Here is a 24,546-nt window from a genome sequence, read left to right as displayed (position 1 = left end):
AGCCCAGGAGATTAAGGCTGCAGTGAGCTGTGATTGTGCCACTGCACTCCAATCTGGGTGACAGAGCATGACCATGTTTTTAAAAAAAAGGAAAAAGAAAAAACAAGCCATGGGCCTGGATGAGATCACCTGGAGGGTATAAAGATGAAGAGGGCTCAGCACCAAGCCTGAGAATCACCAACATCTACAGGTAGAGGGAGGAGGCAAGGCCTTGAACAGAGATGGAGAAGGCCTCGCTGGTGAAGGAGGAAGAAACAGGAGGGCCAAAGTAGGAAGAACTTCAAGAATGGGGAAATGGGCAGCTGGGCCAAAAAAACTGAGAATGTAAAAATAAAAATGATCCCAGCACTTTGGGAGGCCGAGGTGGGTGGATCACAAGGTCAGGAGTTCGAGACCAGCCTGGCCAATATGGTGAAACCCCACCTCTACTAAAATTACAAAAATTAGCTGGCCGTGGTGGCGGGCACCAGTAATCCCAGCTACCTGGGAAGCTGAGGCAGGAGAATTGCTTGAACTCGGGAGGCAGAGGTTGCAGTGAGCCGAGATCGTGCCACTGCACTCCAGCCTGGGCAACAAAGTGAGACTCTGTCTCAAAAATAAAAATAAAAATAAAAATGACTTGCTCTGACAACATGAATGCCATTGACTTTGGCAAGAACATTCTTGGTGGAAGCAGGGACAGAAGCCAGTTTACTGCAAGTTGAAGGGTAAGAGAAGTGAGTGAGTTGGGGCTGGGCGTGGTGGCTCACGCCTGTCATCCCAGCACTTTGGGAGGCCGAGGCGGGCGGATCACCTGAGGTCAGGAGTTCAAGACCAGCCTGACCAACATGGTGAAACCCCTTCTCTACTAAAAATACAAAAATTAGCCGGGCGTGGTGGCGGGCACCTGTAATCCCAGCTACTCAGGAGGCTGAGGCAGGAGAATTGCTTGAACCCGGGAGGCGGAGCTTGCAGTGAGCTGAGATCACGCCACTGCACTGCAGCCTGGGTGACAGAGTGAGACTCCGTCTCCAAAAAAAAAAAGTGAGTGAGTGAGTGGGGAGGGAGCGGAAATAGGTACCACAAAGAACTCCTTCTAGATGTTTTGCTGTGAAGGGGAGCCAAGAAGTTGCTCGTGGGAGATGTGGAGTCCTTGGTTTTAGCTTGTGACTGGCAGATTTGACAGCACTTTTGTATGCTGGTGTGCATGATTCGGTGGAGAGGGAGAAAGTGACAATGTGGAAGAGAGGGAGATAAATGGAGGACTCAGACTTTGCGAAGGTGAGATGGGTAGCTTGTAACAGCAGGGAACAGAAGACACATGATCTAGATGCTGGTGGACATGAGGGGCCAAGGCCATGAGGAGGGACGAGAGAAAGAGGCTGTTCATCGAGCGTTTCCTAAAGGTCTGCTCTTTGTGGGACACTGTACCCCAGTGGCAGCTGGATTCAAGAAGTACATGATGGTTGGGAGAAAAGTATTAAGAACAAAGTGGTTACAGGGCCAAAATGATATTCACACAACTAAAAAGATTCAAGAAGTCAATGCCTCCTCCTGACCCAGGTCAAACGCCTTTAGGCTAGAAGGAGGGCTTCCCGTGGCGCCAGGAGGGCTTGGCGCTTGCTACTCACCGACACCATCTTGCCCTCGGAGGGCATGAAGGCAGGACGGTTGCTGATCCGCAGCTTGGTCTGCAGCGTGTTGAAGTTGATCTCCAGCTGGCATTTCTCCTGCACCTTGGGTGGCTTGTGCTTCCGGCGGTAATCCCGGAAGTCCTCCAGCTTCTTCTGCATGGCTTGCATGGTCTTCTCGGGAGTCCGGTTCTCCAGCCAGGGGATCGTGCGACGAATCCATTCCAAAAGCTGCTCCGCAAACACAAAAATACTGCTGAAGACACCAGCAAGCCCCCTCCCCCAGTTAAAAAAAAAAAATGAGGCATCCAATAATTTGTAAAGGATGAATGTTCCTAAAATCACTGAGATGTGGTACCTCTACGCACAGAGGCATGAACGAGATGTTCAGTGTCCGCCCATGGCCGCGAGTGATCACCCCAACGATACCAAACACAGGTCGAAAACTTAAAGTGAGCACGTAAAGTCGTGTCTTACAAAAATGTGACGTTTACAAGAAACTCAGGGACCAGACATTAGCAGACAAATGCTGGATGGAGCTTTCAAATTAAAAAAACAAAAAACAAAACAAAACAACCCCAAAATACTTGACATGGCAGAACTGTAGTGTAATAAATTCAGCAAAGAACTGGATTTCACTTAAAATGTGTTTTTAAAAAATAAGCTCAAATCTAATTAGATTACTTACTACACAACTGTATTGTAAGCCTGGGCCTAACTCAATGCCAAAGTGTATTTTGACGTCTAGCTTTTAAGTAAATCTGCATGATAAAAGCGAACGTGGTAGTGAATCCCTAAGGACAAAATACACATGCACCTCTTGAATTACTACCTAGGTCTTAGAAATGACTTGCTGAAAACCCCATCATTTACACTTATGCCTACTGAGCACTTGGAAAATGACAGCAGATTCGAATGAAAAATAGTTTAAATGGTGATATACCTAGAGTCTAAGGGTTTTAGGAGGATAAATGAAGGACCCAGTAAGAAAAGGAAGAATTGAATTCCTAAGGATCCTCTGGCCTTCAGTACTGGCCATGCTTCATGTCTGGCAACCCTGTCACTGCCATTCAACAATGCCATCAAGCTTAATTTTTCTATAGCAGCAGTATGAAGATATGAACTCAGTATCATAAAGTTACACTACTATTTATTGGAACATTTATTCCAAATGTCCTGATACTTTTCCCAATAAAGACCAAATATCAGCTAAATTAAAAAGAAGGCCAGGTGCGGTGGCTCACGCCAATAATCCCGGCACTTTGGGAGGCCAAGGCGGGTGGATCACCTGAGGTCAGGAGTTCAAGGCCAGCCAGGCTACCACGGTGAAACTCCATCTCTACTAAAAATACAAAATTAGCTGGGTGTGGTGGTGCACGCCTGTAATCCCAGCTACTTGGGAGGCTGAGGCAGGACAATTGCTTGAACCCTGGGGGCGGAGGTTGCAGTGCGCCAGGACTGCCCCACTGCACTCCAGCCTGGGCCAGAGAGCAAGACTCTGTCATAGAAAACAAAACAAAACAAAACAAAGCAAAAAATAAGGCTTGGCAAAAATTATTTGGTCTGAAGTATGTGTCACTGTACTTGAGTCCAATTTAGAGAGGAGGTGGCTGGGGGCCTCATGCAGCCCATGCTTGTATTTGGGAAAACAGTGCAGATGCAGCGAGGATACTGCGTAGTCGCTACGTATGCTATAACAAGAACGAAAAGAAAAACAACCTGGAAACTGCTGTCCTAACCAAGAGTCTAGCTGAAGAGCTCTGGAAAGGCACCACAGAAACTCATGCTCAAATATTCTGCAGGGAGGGCTCTGTCTTCCCCAGATTTCCTCTGGGTATTTATACAGACACACGAGCCCGAGCCAGCTCCGCACACCAGGCTGGGCCAGTTCCTTTGACACTGGGTCCCTATGTGGAGTGAGGCTTTTGCATATGGAGTGCATCCTATGTGATGTTGGTAGCCAGTGAACAGGAAAAAAAAAAAACAAGTAACCCAAGGTCGTCTAGGGGTGTCCAACCCTGGAGGTGCAGAGCTGAGCAGAGAATCGCATTCTCCTATCTTCAGACATGCAAACTATACCTTTCTGCTTTGGGATCGTTGGAAAGACCACTGGGGATTATGTTTTTGCCAAAAGTTAGGTTACTACAATAGGAACAACCTCAGAGATCAAGTGTATTTTCCTACTTTCATCCTATCTGAGATGAAAAATGCAAAATATATATATATATATATATGCCCCCACGGAGTATTTTTTCACCCTCTGTGCCTCAGCCCCTGCGTGAGGATGGACAGAACTGCAGGTCACCAGTTTCCTTTACCTCACTCGCTAGCCTCTCATATTCTTCCATCAGCCTCTCATTCTCTTGATTCACAGCAAGAACCTTACATATCCTGTTAGCCGCTGTCTCGGCCTGTAAAACACAATAGGTAAACAGGACGGCTCTGTCGACGGGAATGCGCACACACAGCATGGAACGAGGTGGGTGATGAGAGGGGACGAGGAGGGTGGCGTGCTGTAGACGGTGCAGAGTCTAGCTTAGGGTGCGGTCAGACTGAAGGCATGGCTTATGCGTACTATGAATCATTTCACACCTTTGTTACAGTTTTCACACAGACTTACACGGCAGGCTGATTAGACTGTAGGGAATAACGGGGAGAGAGCATTAGTCTAAAACACAAACTCGGTAAACATCCAGCAAGTTAGTCACAGAAATATTTGGGTCCAGGAAACCAAGATCTTGGGTCCCTGAATGTCCACCTGAACTCTCCACTGATCTCATGACGATGGGATGGAGACTCCCTGAATAACATTAGCCTTTGGAAATCAAGGCAAAAATAACTGGGGCAGGAAAATCCAGATATACCATTGCACTTGAATTCACTGAAGACCTCCTCATCTCCTGATATGAACATGTAGAACTTTCTGGAGGGGGATCCTTCCACAGAGCTGAGTGTGCTTTAAGACTTTGTCTAACCTAGATGAGAAGTCATTGAGGTAATACACAATTCTCTGTCATCTTTCGTGGAAAGGAACTTGGGGCAGGAGTGGCAAAGCGCCTTGAACCATAACTGTCTGATGGAACAAGAGAAGCTTGCCTAACTGGCTTCTGGGCCCGCAGCCTGTCCCCAGGCCTTTCCTTTAAAGTCCTCATCAGCCTGTTAGCATCCTTTCCCAGTGATGGGCTTCACAGCGGTCACTGAAATAATGCATACTCCGCCCACTGCAGTCTATCAAGATCCTCCAAGGAGAGGAACAGAAACAGGTGAATATGCAGAAAGCTGAGGGCCATTCTTCCTCAAGGTCCCTTGGGCTATTTGTCTTGAGAAATGTGAAATTTTTTGAGGTTCCAACTCTGTTATCCCCTCCACTATTTCACTTAAAATAAGATTAGTCTTGAAGGATGTTAGACCAAATCACGGAACTGTGAAGGCAATTTCTAAGCAGAGAACAAGGCCGGGTTGGAAAGGCATTCATTTCTCCTTGCCACATTCCCCCTTTACCATTCAATGCATGTGGCTCAATTTTCATGGCATTTTTTTTCTAAAGCACAAATACTTTCCACAACTTACTAATGAAATAAAGGAAATGCATTAAAAGTAAAACACATAAAAACATTTCAGGAACTGTCTAAAGTTAAAGCTGTTAAAAAAAAGTTTTCACAGTTTAGAACTTGCCATATGAGGTTATTAGAAAACACTCAGAAAGATTCCAAGGTAAGATGTGAAGCGCACAAACACACACTCAAGTATGCACACACAACTAAAACCAACAGAGAGTAACACAACAGCCCGGACGGACAAGTGTTGAGTACCTGCTCCGCGCCCGCAAAAGCGTGGTAGAAGCAAGAGACGTACGTCATGATGGCTCTTTCATCGGGTTTAGGGGTGTTCACGATGTCTGAAGGGGGAGAAAATAACACAGGACGCGCGCACACACACACACCACACACATACAGACGAAGGAGAGAAACCAGGGAGAACAGAGGGAAGAACAAATTGGTTTACACTGACCAGATTTCTGTGTTTCATGGGCCCGTGGTCCCGAACCTCAGGAAGGCCATATTGTATCGAAATGATTCGTGAACAGGATGGTTTGAGCCAGCATGTTTTTTAAGGATCAAACTGAGGGCTTGTTTTCTCCCCCACCCCTTGATGGGCTTTTAAAGGTGCATTCAATGCTTTCACATGGAAACCTGGTCTGTTGCAGATCAGAGCTTGTTACCCCTTCCTCGTGACTCCGGTCCTCCAACCGCATCAGGGCACCCGGCCCCTCTGCTCTGGGGAACGCAGGTCACTTTGCAAGATGCGGGGAATATTCACAGGGCTGCAATGGGCTATCTGTCTTCCCACTTCCCCTTCCCCACCCAAACAACTGTTGGGGATTTCTACTCTGTAAAGTGCCTTGCGTGAGGATGAAATTCACTGGAGAGGGCAGCTCTTTTAATAACTTCAATACATACTTACCATACCGCTTATAGAAATCACCAAGAATAACAAAACATCTAAAGAGAAGGGTCTACATGGCTTGTGCTTATTAAGACTCGCTACTATTTCTACTAATTGCTGAAACAGCCAAAAGGAAGACAGAAAACAGAACCATGAAAACCTACATCCTTTCTTCCTCCATCTTGGCAACACCATTTTTCGGTAAGTTGCTTTTTAACCTCGTTCATAAACTTGGGTCAGTCAATGGGTCAGAGTGAAGTTAAAAAGATACCTGACAATTCCCTATGGTGAAACCTAGTCATTGGGTTTGCAGAGACTATGAACAGAAAGGATGTGGGGTTGTGTAACTATAGAATCTTCCAGAAAACAAACATGAACGGCATACCACTGCATGAACAGAAAGTAAGTTTCAAAGAAAGCTAGACTAAAAAAGACAAACAACTGCCTCCTGGGAACCAGACAGTCTCCTTACTCGGAGGAGAGGGGGGAAAAAAGAGGAAAACAATTGAAAAAAAATTAAGACACAGAAGGTGAAGGGTGAGCAGTGACTCATGGTTTACATCCTCACCTTCTGTGCACCAGCAAAAGCATGATAGTAACAGGAAACATAAGTCATTATGGCTCTTTCATCGGGTCTGGCAGTGTATACTAAATCTGTGTGGAGAAAAGAAGGTTAACCGCGTGGATGTTCTAATACCAGCAGGCTTCTGCTAAGCACTTCCTCAGAGGTGTTGGAATCAGGAATCCTCCCCCTTCGCCCCCATACACTTATGTTCCTAACATTTTGGCTCAAATCAAAGAAGTCACACCTGCAAAGGGATTACTCTCTGTGCACTTTTGAGAATAGTCAAAGGAAACAAAGGAATTGCCAAAGAGAACGCCAAGGCTAACCCAGAAGAGCCCTAACCTAGCAAGAAAGGCACCTCCACGGACAGAATTAGGCCCTCGGAATTGAACAGAGTGCACACACCAGCACACTCACCAGGACTTTCTATTACTACACACATGGAGGGCCCAGGGGTCCACAAGATCACTTCTGCAGGTTTTCATGGAGCAAATGTACCCACAGTTCTAAACCTAGTCTGCACCTCAAACAAAGATTTGTGGAGGGAAATAGAGAAACAATTTTTACAACCTTGTAAAAGCACAGTAGATAAGTTTAGGAAGAGTTTCACCAGTTTTTGCTACAAATAACAGTTCATGGGTGAGTGGGCCGATGAGTCACTTGAAAATCCCCACTTGGGTTCAGAGACCAACACAAATGACAGGAATTAAGGTCCATGGCAGCAGACGGGAAGGCAAGGATTTACCAAAAGGCACTCATGATCTGAGGAGACCTGGACCTGACATTACCATCAAAGAGCAGCAGAAATTTTAAACTGCTGATAGAAGGCATGGGAATACAGGAATACAGGGAATGCGTGGCTAAATCTGTTAGGCAGTGATGCCACCGCACGCTCTACACGCTAGGTGGCCAAGTTCAGAACTGTTTGCCGGAAGATTCTTTTGAGCAATTATTCTGTAAAGATAATAATACAGCGTGTGAGCATTCTTCTGAACCATTAAAAGGGAAAGACGAAGAAAAGTATGGAAGATGAGGAGGAGGAAATGAACACAGTGCTAACACACCCCATCTGCCTGGAAGGATGAGCAGAATGGACATCTGCCCAGATCAGGACTCAGAGACTAAGGAAAAACCAAAGAACTGAGAAGAGAATATTAGCAGCGCCAGAGTAACACTGATGATGATCCTGCCAATAATTCTACGTGAGTGAATAGGAAACTCATCCCCAGTTTAGGATACTAGGGAGGCATGAATAAACTGGAAAATTTACTAACTGTTGCCTATTTTCTCCTCTCTTTAGTACCCTGGCTATTAACCCAAGTGGGAAAACTCGAGATAGTTATTTATCATATGAAAGGTCAAAAGAAAGAGCATACAAATATAAACTTAGCTTAGGACAGATGGAAAAAGAGGAAAGGAAATTTCCTATGTTCCTACTTCAGTGTTTTATAGACTTTGTCCCTCTAATGACTTTTAGAGAAACTATAAGTAGAATTCCGAATAATGCATTCAAGTATTAATAGCCAATAATACAGATGTTTGATTAAAATGATTAATTAATGAGCAAAATTAGAGTTCTAATTGAAAGATTGCTGTTTTGGGTTGAACTGCATTTCCCAAAAAGATACAGTGAAGTCTTTACTTCCAGCACTCCTGTGAATGTAACCTTATTTGGAAGTTAGATCTTTGCAGATATAATCAAGTGAGGATGTGGTCATGCTGGAGTAGGATGGGCCCTTAATGCAATGTGACTGGTATCCTTGTAAGAAAATATTCACAGGCCAGGCACAGTGGCTTATGTCTGTAATCCGTGCACTTTGGGAGGCCGAAGTAGGTGGATCACCTGAGGTCAGGAGTTTGAGACCAGCCTGGCCAACATGGTGAAACCCTGTCTCTACTAAAAAAACAAAAAGTAGCTGGGCATGGTGGTGCATGCCTGTAATCCCAGCTACTCAGGAGGCTGAGGCAAGAGAATCTCTTGAACCCGGGAGACAGAGGTTGCAGTGAGCCCAGATCCCACCACTGCACTCCAGCCTGGGCGACGGAGTGAGACTCTGTCTCAAAAAAAATAAAAAATAAAAAATAAAAAATAAAAAGAAAAAGAAAAGAAAATATTCACAGAGGGGAAAAGGCTGTGTGAAGACAGAGGGAGAGATTGGACTGATGCTGCCACAATCCAAAGAATGTCTGGGGCTTCTAGAAGCTGGAAGAGGCGAGGAAGAATCCTCCCCTAGAGGCTTAGGGAGCTGCCTACTCCTTGATTTCAGACACAGCCTCCAGAGCTATGAAATTTCTGCTGTGTGAGGCTGCCCAGTTTGCAGTAATTTGTTACAAAGGCCATAATACAATTACCAAAAGCAAAGAGGAATGGAAGATTGACGACTGACTATAATCAATTTCCTTAGTTTTCCCCAACATCACTAATTAGTGGAAGTAATGGACCACTAGGGAATAATAATATTTACAATAACGAACAAAGTAATATATGAATATAAGCTTCTTGAGGGCATAAATCATGAATAAATAAAATGAACGAATGGTGTCCACACATTTGTGCTTTCAGTGGTCTGCTGTAGGTACAGCTCACACAAATTCACCATATAAAAGGGACAAAAAGTATTTGAAACAAGTCCCCAGAATGAGTGATACTGAAGTGCAAAATATATGGAAGTTCTTTCAGCTCTAAATAAATTAAATTTAGATGAATTAAAAACAATATGTGAAAGTTTGGATGGTACACTGATGGTTGAATGCTCCATATTCTATATTTCAATTCTCTAACTTCTGGCTGGAAGGAAGGAATTTTTTTCTCTTAAGTATGTCACAAAGGGATTTATTTGCTACACTTGTCTCTAAGTGGTTAGGGAGAAAACATTATGTTGTTGGAAAAAATAAATACAGGAAATGTTTTTTTAAAATTATAAATAAAAGCATTTTGTTTCTTAGCCAAAGCTGAACTTTTTACCAAATCCTTTTCCTGTAATTTTGCTGGCTTGTTTGAGGGTACAATTTTTAAAAACAAATTTTATGAACAAGCTACACATGAAAATCTCTACTACTTATGTGGCCAGTGACAGAAATTTGTTAGGAATCCAAAGTACTTCGGATGTAACTTCGCTATAAAATTTTGCAAGGTCCCAATGTGTAGCCATAACATTTGTAGTCTTCAAATTTCCTGTAACTCAGCAAACACAATTTTCATCTCACCTTCAGCATCCAACATTTTAGGAATATCCAGGTGCTTCTCAGCGATTTCCATGGCCAGGTTAATATTTCCTATGGGGTCATCCTGTATGAAAACCAAGACAGTCAGATTTTTAAAATATATTTTGAAACAAGACTTATGAAGAATGTTTCTTATGTACCTCACTTTAGGCCGGACACCTTCCCACCCACACACAATCATAATAGTGTAACTTTCCTTTTCATCTTTTCCCAATCACTTCAAACATTTAGAGAAACATCAAAAATGACAGAAACCACAAAATCCATGCACACTCCAATCATAAAGTGTGAACAAAGAGTTTAAGAGAACAGATGCATTGACAAGAAAGGACACACTGAATCCATCAGAACTGATCTTCAGGCCTAGAAATAACATTTAAATCATTCTAAATAATGAAACATGCATTTTCCAGACTTGGAAGGGGATCTTGGAGAACCAGCACCCTGATTTTAAATATTGGAAAGCTGAGGGGTAAAGAGATGAAAGAAAAATGTTGCTAGCTAAAACTTTTAGCTGACTAAAGAGTGTTACTAGTGTTACAAAGGGCAAAACTCATGTTAAAGCAAGAAGAAATGACAAAACCTGAAAATCATTAAGTGAATTCATGAAAAAAATTTTGTTCTTAAAATTACATTTACCTTCCACCGTAAAAACTAGTTAAATATACATAACATAGCAAAATAAACTTAACCAGAGGTATATAACTAAAATAGTGAAAACAAAGAAGATGCAACATTTCTTATTTTGATCCACTAGAGAAATTCAAAAGAAATTAAGAATTTCAAAAGAAATGGAGGTAAGATAGAAAAATCAAAATGAAATGTGACTTTAACGAATTTTAATAACAAAGTCATTTCAATATTTTAGAAACCGCAATGTTTTCCAATGAGCACAATCATTTTTATACAGTGAAACACTGAAAAAGTGCAGGTTTCAAATATATTCACAGTGCTCAATGAAGAAACCAAAGTCAGCTTTCTGGCCTCACAGAGTATACAGCGATTTCAGTAAAAAAAAAAAAAAAGTGTTTAACTAAACGTTCTTTTAACAAAGCTTATCACCTGAGACTTTGTGAAAGCTATCTCATTTAGAGTGTAATTTAAATGATAAAATGTGCCAATTAAGTATTGATTTCCTACCTCAGCTATCGGCCATGTGGCCTCTGGTAGATTACTAACTTCCCACTTTCTTCATCTGTAAAACTGGGATAATAATAGTACCTACTTTACAGGGTTACTGTGCATTGTGAAGATTAAATGTGCACGTGGGATTTCATACATATGCATATATGCATGTGTGAATATACATGTATGTTTATTTGTTTATAACAGTGCCTGCCCTGGTGCTATATAAGTATTACTTGCTATTGTATTATCATTTTTCTGCTTTCTTAAAGATGACCAATTACTACAGATCTACGGATGTTTTGTAATACAAACTGACCATAATAAATTGCTAATGAAACTGGGTCTATGCAGTACAATCCCCTCATTTTGCAAATGAGATTAAGATTAATTGAAAAGAACTGTACCCTGTCTATATGCTTGGAACATTTCAAAGTAATTCAGGGGATAAGAAAATACATCCATTGAAAAGCTGGGAAAAAGTTCCGTTTTCATGGGCTACCTTAAAATATTTCATTCTTAACCTTTAGGATACCAGTAAACTCTTCACATGCTACCCTGTATGCCATGGAGGCAGGCTGGGGGCAGGAGGTAAGCAAGGGATAACTAAAAAGGTGGTGGAAGCCAGGACACTCTTCTTACGACCATCCATGCCACACGAGTGAGGTCAGCATGCAAAAGGGCTGGAGTCCACGCCCAAACACAGCAACAGCACGTGAATGGCGAGCTCAGCACACCAGCACCCGGCAGGAAACGTGTAGTGGCTACTGCAGAAATGTGTAGTAAGGGTGGGCCTTGCTTTTACCCTTAAGTCTTTACACACCATTCTTTCTTTTCTTTTCTTTTTTGAAACTGAGTCTCGCTCTGTCGCCCAGGCTGGAGGGCAGTGGTGCCATCTCGGTTCACTGCAACCTCCGCCTCCTGGGTTCAAGCCATTCTCCTGCCTTGCCTCCTGAGTAGCTGGGATTACAGGCGTCTGCCACCACACCCGGCTAATTTTTGCATTTTTAGAAGAGGCAGGGTTTCACCTGCCACCACGCCTAGCTAATTTTTGTATTTTTAGAACAGACAGGGTTTCACCACCCATGATGGAAAAAGAAATCAAGGTCCCTTCTGAATCTTGTGGATGCTCTGTGCTGCCTTAGTGAATCTTGTGGACGCTCTGTACTGCCTTACACACTATTATCTCTAAGGCAGCACAGAGCAGCCACAAGCTTCAGAAAGGACATTGATATCTTTTTCCATCATAGGTTACATTGTAACTACGTTTTTGTTTGGGAGTTGGTGTGTCACCCTGTGGCCCAGGCTGGAGGGCAGTGGTGTGATCACAGTCCACTGCAGCCTCAAACTCCTGGGCTCAAGCAAGCCTCCTGCCTCGGCTTCCCAAAGTGCTGGGACTACAGGTGTGAGCCACCACATCCGGCCTTAAAACTACTTTTAAAGAAAGAATTTGAATACTAATCTGAGACTTAAACACACTAAACCTTTACCTTAAAGGCAGAATTGCAGTTTTCTAAGTTAAATTTTCTGAAAAAAAGCAAAACTAAAAAAAAACGCCTGCCCCAAAAACTTCTTATGCAAGGCTACAAATGATATTTTCTAACAATAACAAGACAGTTATGAAGTAGCCCTTGTGTGACGGACGAGTTAATCAATTCTGAATAAATATGTCTACAACTAAATCCTCCAGAAAAAGTCAAGGGAACTTGACTTTAAAAAGGCTTGGATGGGCCGGGCACAGGGGCTCACGCCTGTAATCCCAGCACTTTGGGAGGCTGAGGCGGGCGGATCACGAGCTCAGGAGATCGAGACCATCCTGGCTGACACGGTGAAACCCCGTCTCTACTAAAAATACAAAAAATTATCCAGGCGTGGTGGCGGATGCCTGTAGTCCCAGTTACTCGGGAGGCTGAGGCAGGAGAATGGCATGAACCCGGGAGGCGGAGCCTGCTGTGAGCCGAGATCACACCACTGCACTCCAGCTTGGGCAACAGAGCGAGACTCTGTCTCAAAAAAAAAAAAAAAAAAGGCTTGGGCTATCTGAATCTTTCTTCCCCGCAAAAATAGAGGTTTCACTTCTCATATTTAGAATCCAGGAATGTAAAATCTCTAAGGAACATATAGAAAGCCTTCATAGTAAATCAAGCCAAATCATCAAACATATCTTGATATGGGCAAAAAGGGATGACTTAACTTTGGGTCTTGTTTTCCCTGATTTTAAGAGGTAAGTGTTTTCCTGGCCACTCTTCATACTTGGATCATGGGAAAGGCTAGCTGGGAGAATGTGCTTTTTCCTGGTGGCCGTTTCTGCAGGTGGCCCTGGGGTTTGTGCTAGGCTAGTGCTGATGTGCTCATTTGCAGGACATGCTGAGACGCGTGGCTGGGGACACTGCATGCCAGGCCACCCAGAATAACCTTGTTAAGCTTTGAGTAGTCAATGAGGTCAGGCCGGTGTCGGTGGATGAGGGCACAGAGTCCAAGGCCATCTTTCCAGCTTCACAGCCGTCGAGAAGAACAGGAACACGTGTTAGTGGAGAGAAAGAAGCAGCCAGCATCTGCACTCAGTCAGATGTTGGCCTTCCTTCTGTCTGACTTCATGCACGGAGGGCCCCATGTAGCTTCCTCTTTACCCCGCCCGGTGAGCTTGAACACTCATCTTCTTCCCAGGGTCCACGGTACTCCTCTCCTTTTGACTTCCTTGCCTGAGACTTGCCCTGTCTCCTGCCCTGATCTGGTCCGTGCTGGCACAGGCAGTGACAGGAAGGGAGATGTCTCTACTGCTGTCCCTGCTCGGCCAGTCCCAGGGTTCCTCTCTCTTCTCCAACTCTCCATTCTGGCCCTTACCCCTGAGTCTGCCCAATAAATATACACAAGGACGTCTACCCTGCAAATGTCCAGAACACACTTCCTCTAAAAGTTTTTAGGACGCTTCAAAAACCTCCATTAGGTCCCAGATACTCCTCTGTCTTTAAGTTCTTTTTTTTTTCTTTTTCTTTTTTTAAGGCAAAGGCATGTAGGTGAAGGAGGACATGCAATTAGCAGGGCAGATGTTTATTTCTGGTCTGTTCCGCCGTAGACACCAGCTCTAAATGCCCCATAGACAAGGGCAGGCCAGAGCTTGCTGGCGACAGCGGGTTCAGTGACAGCAGAGTGTGGGAGTTCTGTTCCTCAAAGGGTCTGGGGAAGGAGACCTCCGTGAGAGTTATCAGTGCTACAATGCTGAAGTACTTGGGCCAACTAGGAGCCAGAAAAAGAAAAGCAAGATGAGTGGATGCAGATCTGGGCACTCTGACTTTGACACCTGCAGAAAGTCCCAGCCCTTGGTAGCTCCTCTCATCTGCCAAACAGCATGGTGTAGGGACAAAGAAGGATTCTCTTCCCCTTTGTCTTCCCAAGGCCTGGCTCAGTGCCTGACACTTGGTAGACATTCTGAAAATATTTGTTCAACTAGAAGAACCTCCCCAATTTTTCACCGTGGTTCATCCTTATCTTTCCTTTTTCTGATTATCTCAGTGGCCTTTTTGCATTCATGGGTAACCTAGCATCCAAAGGTGAAAATATAACCAACTCTTTTACTTCAACATCATAATGACCACTCTACATGAGAAAGACTGAAGCAAGTGACAGAATCATGCTCTCCCCTGATGTCGAGATTTCATTCATCTCATTTCCTACCATTTTTCAGACATAATTTTTCTCCATCTTTTGAATTTCAGCAGAGCAAAGCTGATGGATGAAGGATCTATTTCCTACAGGGCTGAGGGCTGAAGAGTCGCTAGTGGGGGGTACGCAGACTCTGCCAGGGTCTCCCTCATCCCTGAGAAACAACAGCCATTCCTGCTGCCTTTTCCCAATACCAGGGTGAAGGCTAGAGTAAGATGCATGCTTACACCCCCAAACTCAGTAGCATCCTTCTGGTACTGCAATACCATTCACTTACAAATACAGTGCTGTTTACCAGCATGCTAAGGCTTAATCCAATGTTTTCCTCTGGGAGACTTTAAGCATCAAGAATTCTACAGCCTGAGTTCTCCTCGATACATAAAAGGCTTCTCAGACAGGAGGAAAACACGGGTGCACACAAACACTGTTCCCCATGCTACCCACAGATTCCACTGAGAATACAAGGACCAGGGGCCCTGGGTGCTCACCTAGTATGGAAGTTCTGAATGTTCACATTTCTATAAGGAGCAGTTTTCCTCTGACACCAAAGCAGCAGACCTTCTTTGGCAGATGTTTCTGTAATGACAGCCAAGAAAAAGTGGCCCCAGGGAAATGCCGCTTAGTTCACTTAGCTCCTAGTCACTTTTGAAACAGACCTCCCAGGGGGTCGATCACCCAGGGGGTCTCTTCCTACAGCCTCGGCAAGTGCATAGGAGCCAGAACCCTGATCTTGGTGAGTAAATTCTGATGACACTTAGGGACTTCAAAAGGACAATGCAGGAGCAGCCACAAGCTCCAACATAAAAAGACACTAAAACTAGACTTCAGGGTGGTTGGTGACTCGCCCCTTTTTAAATGAAAATACTTTTTTTAATTTTTTTTGAGGCACAGTCTCACTCTGTCACCCAGGCTGGAGTGCAGTGGTGGGATCTTGGCTCACTGCAACCTCTGCCTCCCGGGTTCAAAAGATTCTCCTGCCTCAGCCTCCCGAGTAGCTGGGACTACAGGTGCCACCACCATGCCCGGTTAATTTTTGTATTTTTAGTAGAGACAGGATTTTGCCACGTTGGCCAGGCTGGTCTTGAACTCCTGACCTCAGGTGATCCACCTGCCTCAGCCTCCCAAAGTGCTGGGATTTTAGGTGTGAGCTACTGTGCCCAGCTGAAAATAAATTTTTAAAAACTGTGTATACCCCATTGTGTGAGGTGACACTGGGGGCACCTATTATTCGGACCAGAGACTAAGTGTCCAATTTGAAAAGGAGGCTGTGGATGCTGACAGACCTTTCCCTGCCTCTTGATTGACTGCATCCTGAAAGTACTAGCAAAGTTTAATACTGAGCACAATCTGTAATTGAAGTGAGTCTTACAGGACAATTGGATCCTTTGTATTCACTTAAGGTTTACTGTACACAATCCTGAAAAATATGCAAACATAAATAGTCTACAGTGCAACTCACATGAAAAAATAAACTGTGTGTAGTTGATGACAACTAATCTGTCATTCATCTGGTTTGTAATTCATACTCTTAGGTAAATGGAATTCACAGATGCTACCACATCTCAAATGTATTCCTTTGCCCAGTGATTTTGTAACACTTAAAGGGTTTTATTGGTAAATTTCAAGTTTGGCCAATTGACTTCTCACCAAAAAAAAAAAAAAAAAAAAAAGGAAAAACCCAGCACCATCTGTGATGACCATAAAAATGTGCCGCTCAGACGTCCCACGGCTTCAGCTGCGAGCACAGGGCAGGCAACTGACGTGCCAGCTGCAGCCCCCTGAATGCACCACACCCCTGCATTCCCACTGAGGCCACATTCCCCAGAGCTGCTCCAGCCAAAGACTGGGGGGTGAGCAGCAGAGCTGAGACACCCCTATGCGACGTGAGACTCCTCTCAGGGCAGCCTAGGATTAAAGACTCCATCAGCCTGGCGAAATTAACCTCAGAACTGCACTGCAGTCGGAGACCTTCTTCCCCAAGCCTCCTCCCTTCCTCTTCTCGGCCCAGGTGTCAGCCAGGAGCTCTGGTCTGAAGGCTCCTCAGGCATCTCCTGCTCCCTCCCCTTCATCCTGCATAGGCATTTTCCCCAAAAAATCTCCTGCACTTCTGGTATGGCCTCAATGTTGGTGTCTTCCCGCCCATCACCAAATTCATATGTTGAAGCCCTAGACCCTAATGTGCCTGTATTTGGAGATGGGGCCTTTAGGAGGTGCTTAGGGTGAGATGAGGTCACGAGGGTGGGGCCCTCATGATCGGATTAGTGTCCTCATGAGAGAGACACCAGGGAGCCTGCTCATTGGCAGGTTCTCCCCCACCCCCACCCACCACGTGCGGCACATCAAGGCAGCAGCCATCTGCAAGCCAGGAAGAGGATCCTCACAGAACCAGACCATGCTGGCACTCTGATTTTGGACTTCCAGCCTCAAGAACTGTGAGAAAATAAAGGTCGGCTGTTTAAGCCATCCATGCTATGGCATGTTTTTATAAAGGCCTGGAAAGACTACAACAATTTCTAGTAAGTCTTGGCACTTGCTTCCTGGAGGACCCAAACCGACACACATCTAAACAGCTCCTCAAAGCCACTTATATAACTTAGGATTCCGCCTATATTTAAATGTTAACAATTTAGAAATTCCCTAAAGCATGTCGATTCCTAACTAACATGGGGCCTTCCATCTTAGGAAGGGGTTGAAGTTGATTTTTTCAAATGAAAATAATTTTGTAATTATTTATCTAAATTGTCCATTTTTAGGCCAGGCACAGTGGCTCACACCTGTAATCCCAGCACTTTGGGAGGCCGAGGCTGGTGGATTACCTGAGGTCAGGAGTTCAAGACCCAAGATGGCGAATCCCATCTCTACTAAAAATACAAAAATTAGCCGGGCACGGTGGCGGGCACTTGTAATCCCAGCTACTTGGGAGGCTAAGGCAGGAGAATTGCTTGAGCCTGGGAGGCAGAGGTTACAGTGAACCGAGATTGCACCACTGCACTCCAGCCTGGGTGACAGAGTGAGACTCCTGTCTCAAACAAAACAAAACAAAACAACACAAAACAAAAAACTGTCCATTTTAGTTCATACTTTCTTGGACCCATAACCCAGATAAAATACACACACCCCTAAAGTTCCATGTGCTATAACTTGAACAACTCCTGTGCATGTCTTTTAATTAGCAAGTGCTAGTTAAGGGAAAATAAAGTGAAACTGTTAAGACTTAATTAAAATGTGAATTGATATGGACATTGAAATCTGGAACTCCACAGCCAGTTGTTCTGCCTGTCTTTGCAGTCCTGACCAATGAAATTAAGAAGAAGAAGTACATCAGGAAGAAATAATGGGATGTATTTAATAGAGTTTAAATAAAACTTACCAGGTTAGAAAAGCAAACAAAGGTACAGTATATCTACAACACCTTAAAATTGCCACTGAAGTTTAGATTTACAAGTCACGGAGTTTCACTTAATTTCTGCCTGAATATGTGTGAACACTCTTGGGCCATGAATGCCGAACAAGGCTTTTTCCTTCTTCAATTGGTTACTACAATCAAAGCTGACCCTCCTCCAACCCCAAATCCAGTTTTAGGCTTTCAGCAAAAGGTTAACAACCTTGTGTGAATTACGTACATTACTGGAAAACCTACTCCCGAAAGGTGTATGGGAAAGTGGAAATGCGGCCATTTGGCACAAACAGGTCCACACACAAAACCCTGATCATGGTATAAAAAGCATGTTACAGATTGGCAGTAACATTTCTCATTGCATCACAAAGCACTGAATGACACCCCAAGGAGCTCCATCATCTACTTACATCTGCACTGCCTTCATCAACAGATATATTAATCTCTCATTTTCTTTTTCTTTTTTTTTTTTTTTTTGAGACGGAGTCTTGCTCTGTTACCCAGGCTGGAGTGCAGTGGTGTGGTCTCAGCTCACTGCAACCTCCACCTCCCAGGTTCAAGCGATTCTCCTGCCTTAGCCGCCTGAGTAGCTGGGATTACAGGCACATGCCACCACACCTGGCTAATTTTTGTATTTTTAGTAGAGACGGGATTTCACCATGTTGGCCAGGCTGGTCTCGAACTGCTGACCTCATGATCCACTCACCTTGGCCTCCCAAAGTGCTGGGGTTACAGGCGTGAGCCACCGCGCCCGGCCTAATCTCTCATTTTCTTTCTTGGAAGAGGCCCATCATTTTGCTGAAGGAAACTCACTCCTCAAAGAATTGTTTCTTTGATTCTAATAACAATGAATTTTTCAACATACCACACATCATTAAAACAAATAAAGATGATTTTTCTGTAGACTTACAGAAGTTAAATGAGGTTGTTAAACAATTACTCCATGAAACTAAAACAAATAAAAATATAAATTAGCAAACTGACAGTATCTACTGTGTTGGACACTGCAGAACCATCTGCTTGAAGAGATCTAGTAGGTACTTTCCTAATAAAATTATAATTTTTTAATGTTTAATTTCTTAGTCTTGTGAAGAGCAGATTAATATAGCCTTTTATCGCAAAATTTTACAAAATATTGTGATTTAGCTATCTTGCTTTGGGCATGTTAATAACAATTTTGGGGAAAACTCTAATGGATAATACCATTCATACCTACACTTGAAATATAATTAAGTTTGAATTCATATTATCACTAATTTAAAATTTGTAACCAATCAGAAACAACTTGAGGTCAACTTCACCTCTGTAATATTTGTGGAAAAAGGATTTGCTAGACCAGCAACAGTGTGACCAAGATTTCTAAAAGTAGTATTTATTTAAAGTGGGTTCAACAGTTTAAATATTTAAATTTAGAAGTATATAAAAACTGATAAAATTATTACAACTTACAATTTTTAAATAAAGCAAGAATTTTAGGAAGCCTCTTGTTTCTTTCATTAGCATAAAGGAAGGTACTGTAATAGAACTATATTGTACAAAAGTTTTCAAAGTCAGACTATGTATTAATTCAAGCTGGCTGTCATTCCTGAGCTTGAATTGTTTTAATGCCATTAGATTTTAGTTTGACTTTTAGATGACATAAGTCGGTCTCCGGTGCCAGAAGGGAATAATTGAAGTGAGTTTGAAGGTCCATAAGGGCAAGTACTGCAGGCTTCATGTCAGCTGGTACAAGTAGGCAAAGTGTTGTTTCTTAATGTTTGTTGGTTGATGAGTACCTAAAATCACTTAAAAAGACCAGAGTCTCATGCCTGTAATCCCAGCACTTTGGGAGGCTGAGGCGGGCGGATCACGAGCTCAGGAGATCGAGACCATCCTGGCTAACACAGTGAAACCCCGTCTCTACTAAAAATATGAAAAATTAGCCAGCATGGTGGTGGGCGCCTGTAGTCCCAGCTACTCGTGAGGCTGAGGCAGGAGAATGGCGTGGACCCAGGAGGCAGAGCTTGCAGTGAGCCAAGATCGCGCCACTGAACTCCAGCCTGGGTGCCAGAGTGAGACTCCGTCTCAAAAAAAAAAAAAAAAAAAAAAACAAAAAACAAAAACCAGAGTCAGAGGCTACTGTGGCCTGGGCAGAATTATAAATAACGTCTCCACCCCTTACCACTCAGGTACCTGGTTACCTACTGGATTACAGAGTCAGAAGGGGCCAAATAGTTGGACAATGCAGCAGCCCTGAAACACATTCTGCAGTTATACACTTTGTGATTTGAGGGCCAAACAGGCAAAGTTCCAATTTTAAGAATGCCAATTTGACACTTTTCAACAGTGCTGAATTCATCAAAATATTTGGGAGTGTAGTTGGTGTAAAAGACTAAAGATTTTTATCTTCAGTGGCAGTGTCAAGGATTAAGATTCTATGATAATGATGAAACAGTAGTTAGGCCAAAAGATACAGTGACAATAGAGGTCTTGTTTAAAAAGAAAAAGAAGAAAAAAGAAAAAGAGAGGGAGAGAGATAGGGAGGAAGAAAGTTAAGGAAATAACAAACATGGGTTGCAACAGATTCTTTTTTTATACCAGGGGGAAAGAAAGTGTTTCAGTTGTAAGACTAAAGAACTCTGCCATAGCTGTAAATTTACTAGTATAATAAGCAATCAAGAAGCTCAATAAATGCTCATTTTAAAAAGCGACTTCTGTTCTGAACATGTGCTCATCTTTTGCAAACCGATTCCACCCCCATGAATGAAACAGTGCTGCCGAGGTCTTTTCCTATACACATACAAAATTTATAAGAACCCACTTACATGTCTCTCATTCAATCATGTAAGTGACTGTTGGACTTTAAAACATCTTGCTCAAATTTTAATTCACAAGCTCAATTTACAGATTATACAATTAGACTTTTAACCATGTCTTTTACCTTCAACCGAAATATCCTGAATAGCAAAGCGAAGGATGATGGTCCAGATCATACCCAGGGTCATTTTCACGTTGCCATCAACAATTTCTGCAGGTAAGAAAACAACAAATTAATGTAAAGATAACATAGTCTGTACGTAACTTTTTTCCTATATATAAATGTTGACTTCAGAGCTATTGGAAAATGTGCATATGGATGGAAAGACCAGTTTATGTTTTTATAAGCACCGCAGTATGTCTGGTTATAAATACAGTATTCATAACCAAATGTCTCTAGTTTAAATAAATTCTAAGTTAATAATAAGCACAAATCTTGCATATGTATTATCAGTGAAAACCACCCGGGAGTTTCCAAAGTTTTAAGATGTAATAGCTAAGGTTTTTTTTTTTTTTTGAGATGGAGTCTCACTCTGTCGCCCAGGCCGCAGTGCAGTGACACAACCGTGGCTCACTGCAACCTCCGCCTCCTGGGATCAAGCAATTCTCCTGCCTCAACCTCCTGAGTAGCTGGGACTACAAGGACTACAGGCATGCGCCACCACACCCAGCTAATTTTTTGTAAATTTAGTAGAGATGGGGTTTCACCACGTTGGCCAGGCTGGTCTTGAACTCCTCACCTCAGGTGATCTACCCGCCTCAGCCTCTCAAAGTGCTGGGATGAGCATGAGCCACTGTGCCCAGCCATGAGCTAAAGTTTTAAATAATCAAATAAAGAGAACACAGTCTCATCTTTACCCTGACCCTTCTTACGGCATTCCGCAGCTGACAAGTAGCAGGACTCAGTTGTGCATACAGAGATATGGGTGGAAATCTCAGCTCCCGCTGACCTCACCAAATTCCCAGTCTCCCATAGAGAACAAAGAGGCCACTTCCTTCCTATTAGTTAGTTCTTATTAAGAGTCATTGGGATGTGTAAGTTCTTTCTCAGTCCTTTAAGTCTTCTGAAGATGACAGCATTATATTTAATTCTATGCTTTACAAAGAACCTAGAGCTTGGTCTCCCACTCATGGTACCATTTGTTCTTATCTTTGTGCACCGAGCGCCCTAAGAGAGAGCCTGATACAAGGCAGGTACAGTAAATGGTGAAAGGGAGGGAAGAAGGGGAGAATTCAAGTCGCAGCCCACACCTACGCTATTAGGTCAGTGTGGCAGACAGGACCACCCACCACACCTCTCACCTTCAGCGCCAATGGACACCAGTTTCACCCCTTTGCTGGCTATGTAATCCAAAGCTTTGTTGACATTAGCAATTTTGTGGAACCGCATTTTTCCCCGGTCAGGTTTGGGCAGCCTTTCCCCTGTTGGATGAAAAGAGAATCATGCAGACATAGAGACAGTGACCTCTTGATGCGGAATCAAGATGCCAAAACTAAGCATCCATCTTTTCCTTAAAAAGAGAAGGTTACATGACTATTTCTGATGTGTGCCTGGTCTCTCTAAATCACAGCAATGAGGGAACACTAACCCAGAAACTTTCAGAATCAAATGGACCAGCAGGGAGCCATACTATGAAGGACACATGCTTTTCAGATCTGCAGGGAGAGTCTGGTTTGGCCCATGATCCAACTTACAAATGAGTAAAAAGAGAAGCTGGTTAGAGTCCCTGGAGTATTCAGAGTTGCTGGCTAACGGTTAGAGGAAGTCAGGATGGCCAGTTAAAATCACAGAGGTGGCTGCCAGGGCTCGTTCGACACCTGATTATGAAGACAGATGGATCAGGGCAGATCTGCCATAATCCTTCCCAGTCACACTTCTCCAAAGGTGATCCATTCTCTAGTCCAAAGTCTAAATCAGCCAACTGAAATTCAGGACAAATCATAGCCCCACTGGGATTTTAGCTTATATGTTCAGAGTTCTGCCAACATGTACAGTAGATTTTTGGATACAAGATGATTTCTGGAATACACTCTAGCTGGACGAAGAGTAGAAAGGGCAGCATGGAGGGAGTCGTGTGAAGTCATTTTTTCTTCTCTTATTTTGTTTCAAGCTTGGTGGTATAAACATTATTTTAATAAGTGATTTTTAAAGAGAATTCACTCCTTTTTTTAGAACGGAAAAATAACTCCAGGCAGATTGTTCTTTGGAAAGGTTTTCTTTGGCAATAATACCATGTTCTTGCCCAGCCAAGTTCAAAGCGAACTTCTGATGTAGTCATCTTTAAATAGATGCTCACCTACTGATAACACATGAAAGCATAGGATGGGATATATAACACCAACCTGAGATGACTTCCAAAAGCAGCATGAGCTTAAGGCCATTCCTGAAGTCTTCCTCGATGTTCTCAATCTGGGTGCCGGCTTTCCTTAGGTGGGAGTTACACCAGGCAGTGAAGGTCTGCAAAGAAAACCAAACACGGTTTAGCACAGGTCCATCGGATTTCAGATCCCTTCCTCACAGACGACACTTGACACCTTACACGTTCTTGGGAATCTACAAGGCTGGGGCTGCTTGGGCTTCTAGAGGATGCAGAATTTGATGGAAAGAAGAACTGGAAACCCAAAAGAACGATTTTAGTAAATTTTCCACTTTAGAGATAAAGACTCTCTTATTGGATATTCCAACCTGAAGAATTTTTGCCTTCCATTTAAAAAGACACCACATTTATACCTGTATCTTCACCTTTTGAAACCCTTTTACTTTGTAGAAAAGATAGATTAAATTAAGATGTGCTTATTTCTTGCTCACAAATATGCAAAATATGCTTGCTTGCAGCAGAATAGATGAATAAATAACAGTGTTTTGTTTTGTTTTGGAGACAGGGTCATCCAGCTCTGTCACCCAGGCTGGAGAACAGTGGTGTGATCATGGCTCACTGCAGCCTCAACCTCCCAGGCTCAACTGATCCTCCTGCCTCAGCCCCCTAAGTAGCTGGGACTATAGGCATGCACGACCACACCTAGCTAATTTTTTTTTAGAGATGGGGTCTTGCTATGTTGCCCAGGCTGGTCTCAAACTCCTAGACTCAAGCAATCCTCTTGCCTCAGCCTCCCAAAGTGCTGGGATTACAGGCATGAGCCACCATGCCCAGTCTAAATAATGTTTGAAGAATGTTCAAAGGCCAGGTGTGATGACTCACACCTGTAATCCCAGCACTTTGGGAGGCTGAGGCAGGGCAGATCACTTGAGGTCAGGAGTTCGAGACCAGCCTGACCAACATGGTAAAACCCCGTCTCTACTAAAAATACAAAAATTAGCTGGGTGTGGTAACGTGTGCCTGTAGTCCCAGCTACTCAAGAGGCTCAGGCAGGGAAGTAGCTTGAAACCAGGAGGCGGAGGTTGCAGCAAGCCAAGATCATACTACTGCACTCCAGTCTGGGTGACAGAGTGAGACTCTGTCTCAAAAAAAAAAAAAAAAATGTTCAAAATGTGTTGCTTTAGAGGAGAGGGTGGGTGATATTGTGTAGCAGAAAGAAGAGAGAAGGGACCCATAACCAGTGATAACCTAGAACTAGTTTATCTCGGGTGAACAACAGTTTTAAGCTACTAATTAAATCAATTAAACAAATTTGCAGTATAGTCTATCATTGAAAAAATAATAACAATAACCTCCTACAAGCATATTCCAAGCACTGGACTACATCCTGGATCTCAAAGG

General features: G+C 43.4%; 1 protein-coding gene across 3 annotated transcripts in view; it reads right to left on the bottom strand.

Moving 5' to 3' along the window:
• Positions 1-24,546, bottom strand: part of ACTN2 (actinin alpha 2) — a 78,133-nt gene that overhangs the window by 23,489 nt on the left and 30,098 nt on the right. The window contains exons 2-12 of one of the 3 annotated variants that reach the window (NR_184402.1): positions 23,171-23,285; positions 22,130-22,249; positions 20,952-21,038; positions 15,123-15,210; positions 13,387-13,465; positions 9,829-9,910; positions 6,625-6,710; positions 5,423-5,508; positions 4,475-4,585; positions 3,929-4,021; positions 1,611-1,841 (exon numbers count right to left, since the gene is read on the bottom strand). Coding sequence is in view for 2 of the 3 variants with exons in the window: in NM_001278343.2 (NP_001265272.1) it covers positions 1,611-1,841; positions 3,929-4,021; positions 6,625-6,710; positions 9,829-9,910; positions 13,387-13,465; positions 15,123-15,210; positions 20,952-21,038; positions 22,130-22,249; positions 23,171-23,285 (981 nt within the window). In the remaining variant the exon portion in view is untranslated. The remainder of the gene's footprint in view (positions 1-1,610; positions 1,842-3,928; positions 4,022-4,474; positions 4,586-5,422; positions 5,509-6,624; positions 6,711-9,828; positions 9,911-13,386; positions 13,466-15,122; positions 15,211-20,951; positions 21,039-22,129; positions 22,250-23,170; positions 23,286-24,546) is intronic. The other 2 variants (NM_001278343.2, NM_001103.4) reach the window with 2 other exon arrangements.

This window comes from Homo sapiens, chromosome 1, assembly GCF_000001405.40.
Source record: "Homo sapiens chromosome 1, GRCh38.p14 Primary Assembly".
In the NCBI taxonomy this organism is placed as follows: domain Eukaryota; kingdom Metazoa; phylum Chordata; class Mammalia; order Primates; family Hominidae; genus Homo; species Homo sapiens.
Note: the sequence above shows the minus strand (reverse complement) of the source record. Positions and strands in the feature narration are given on the sequence as shown.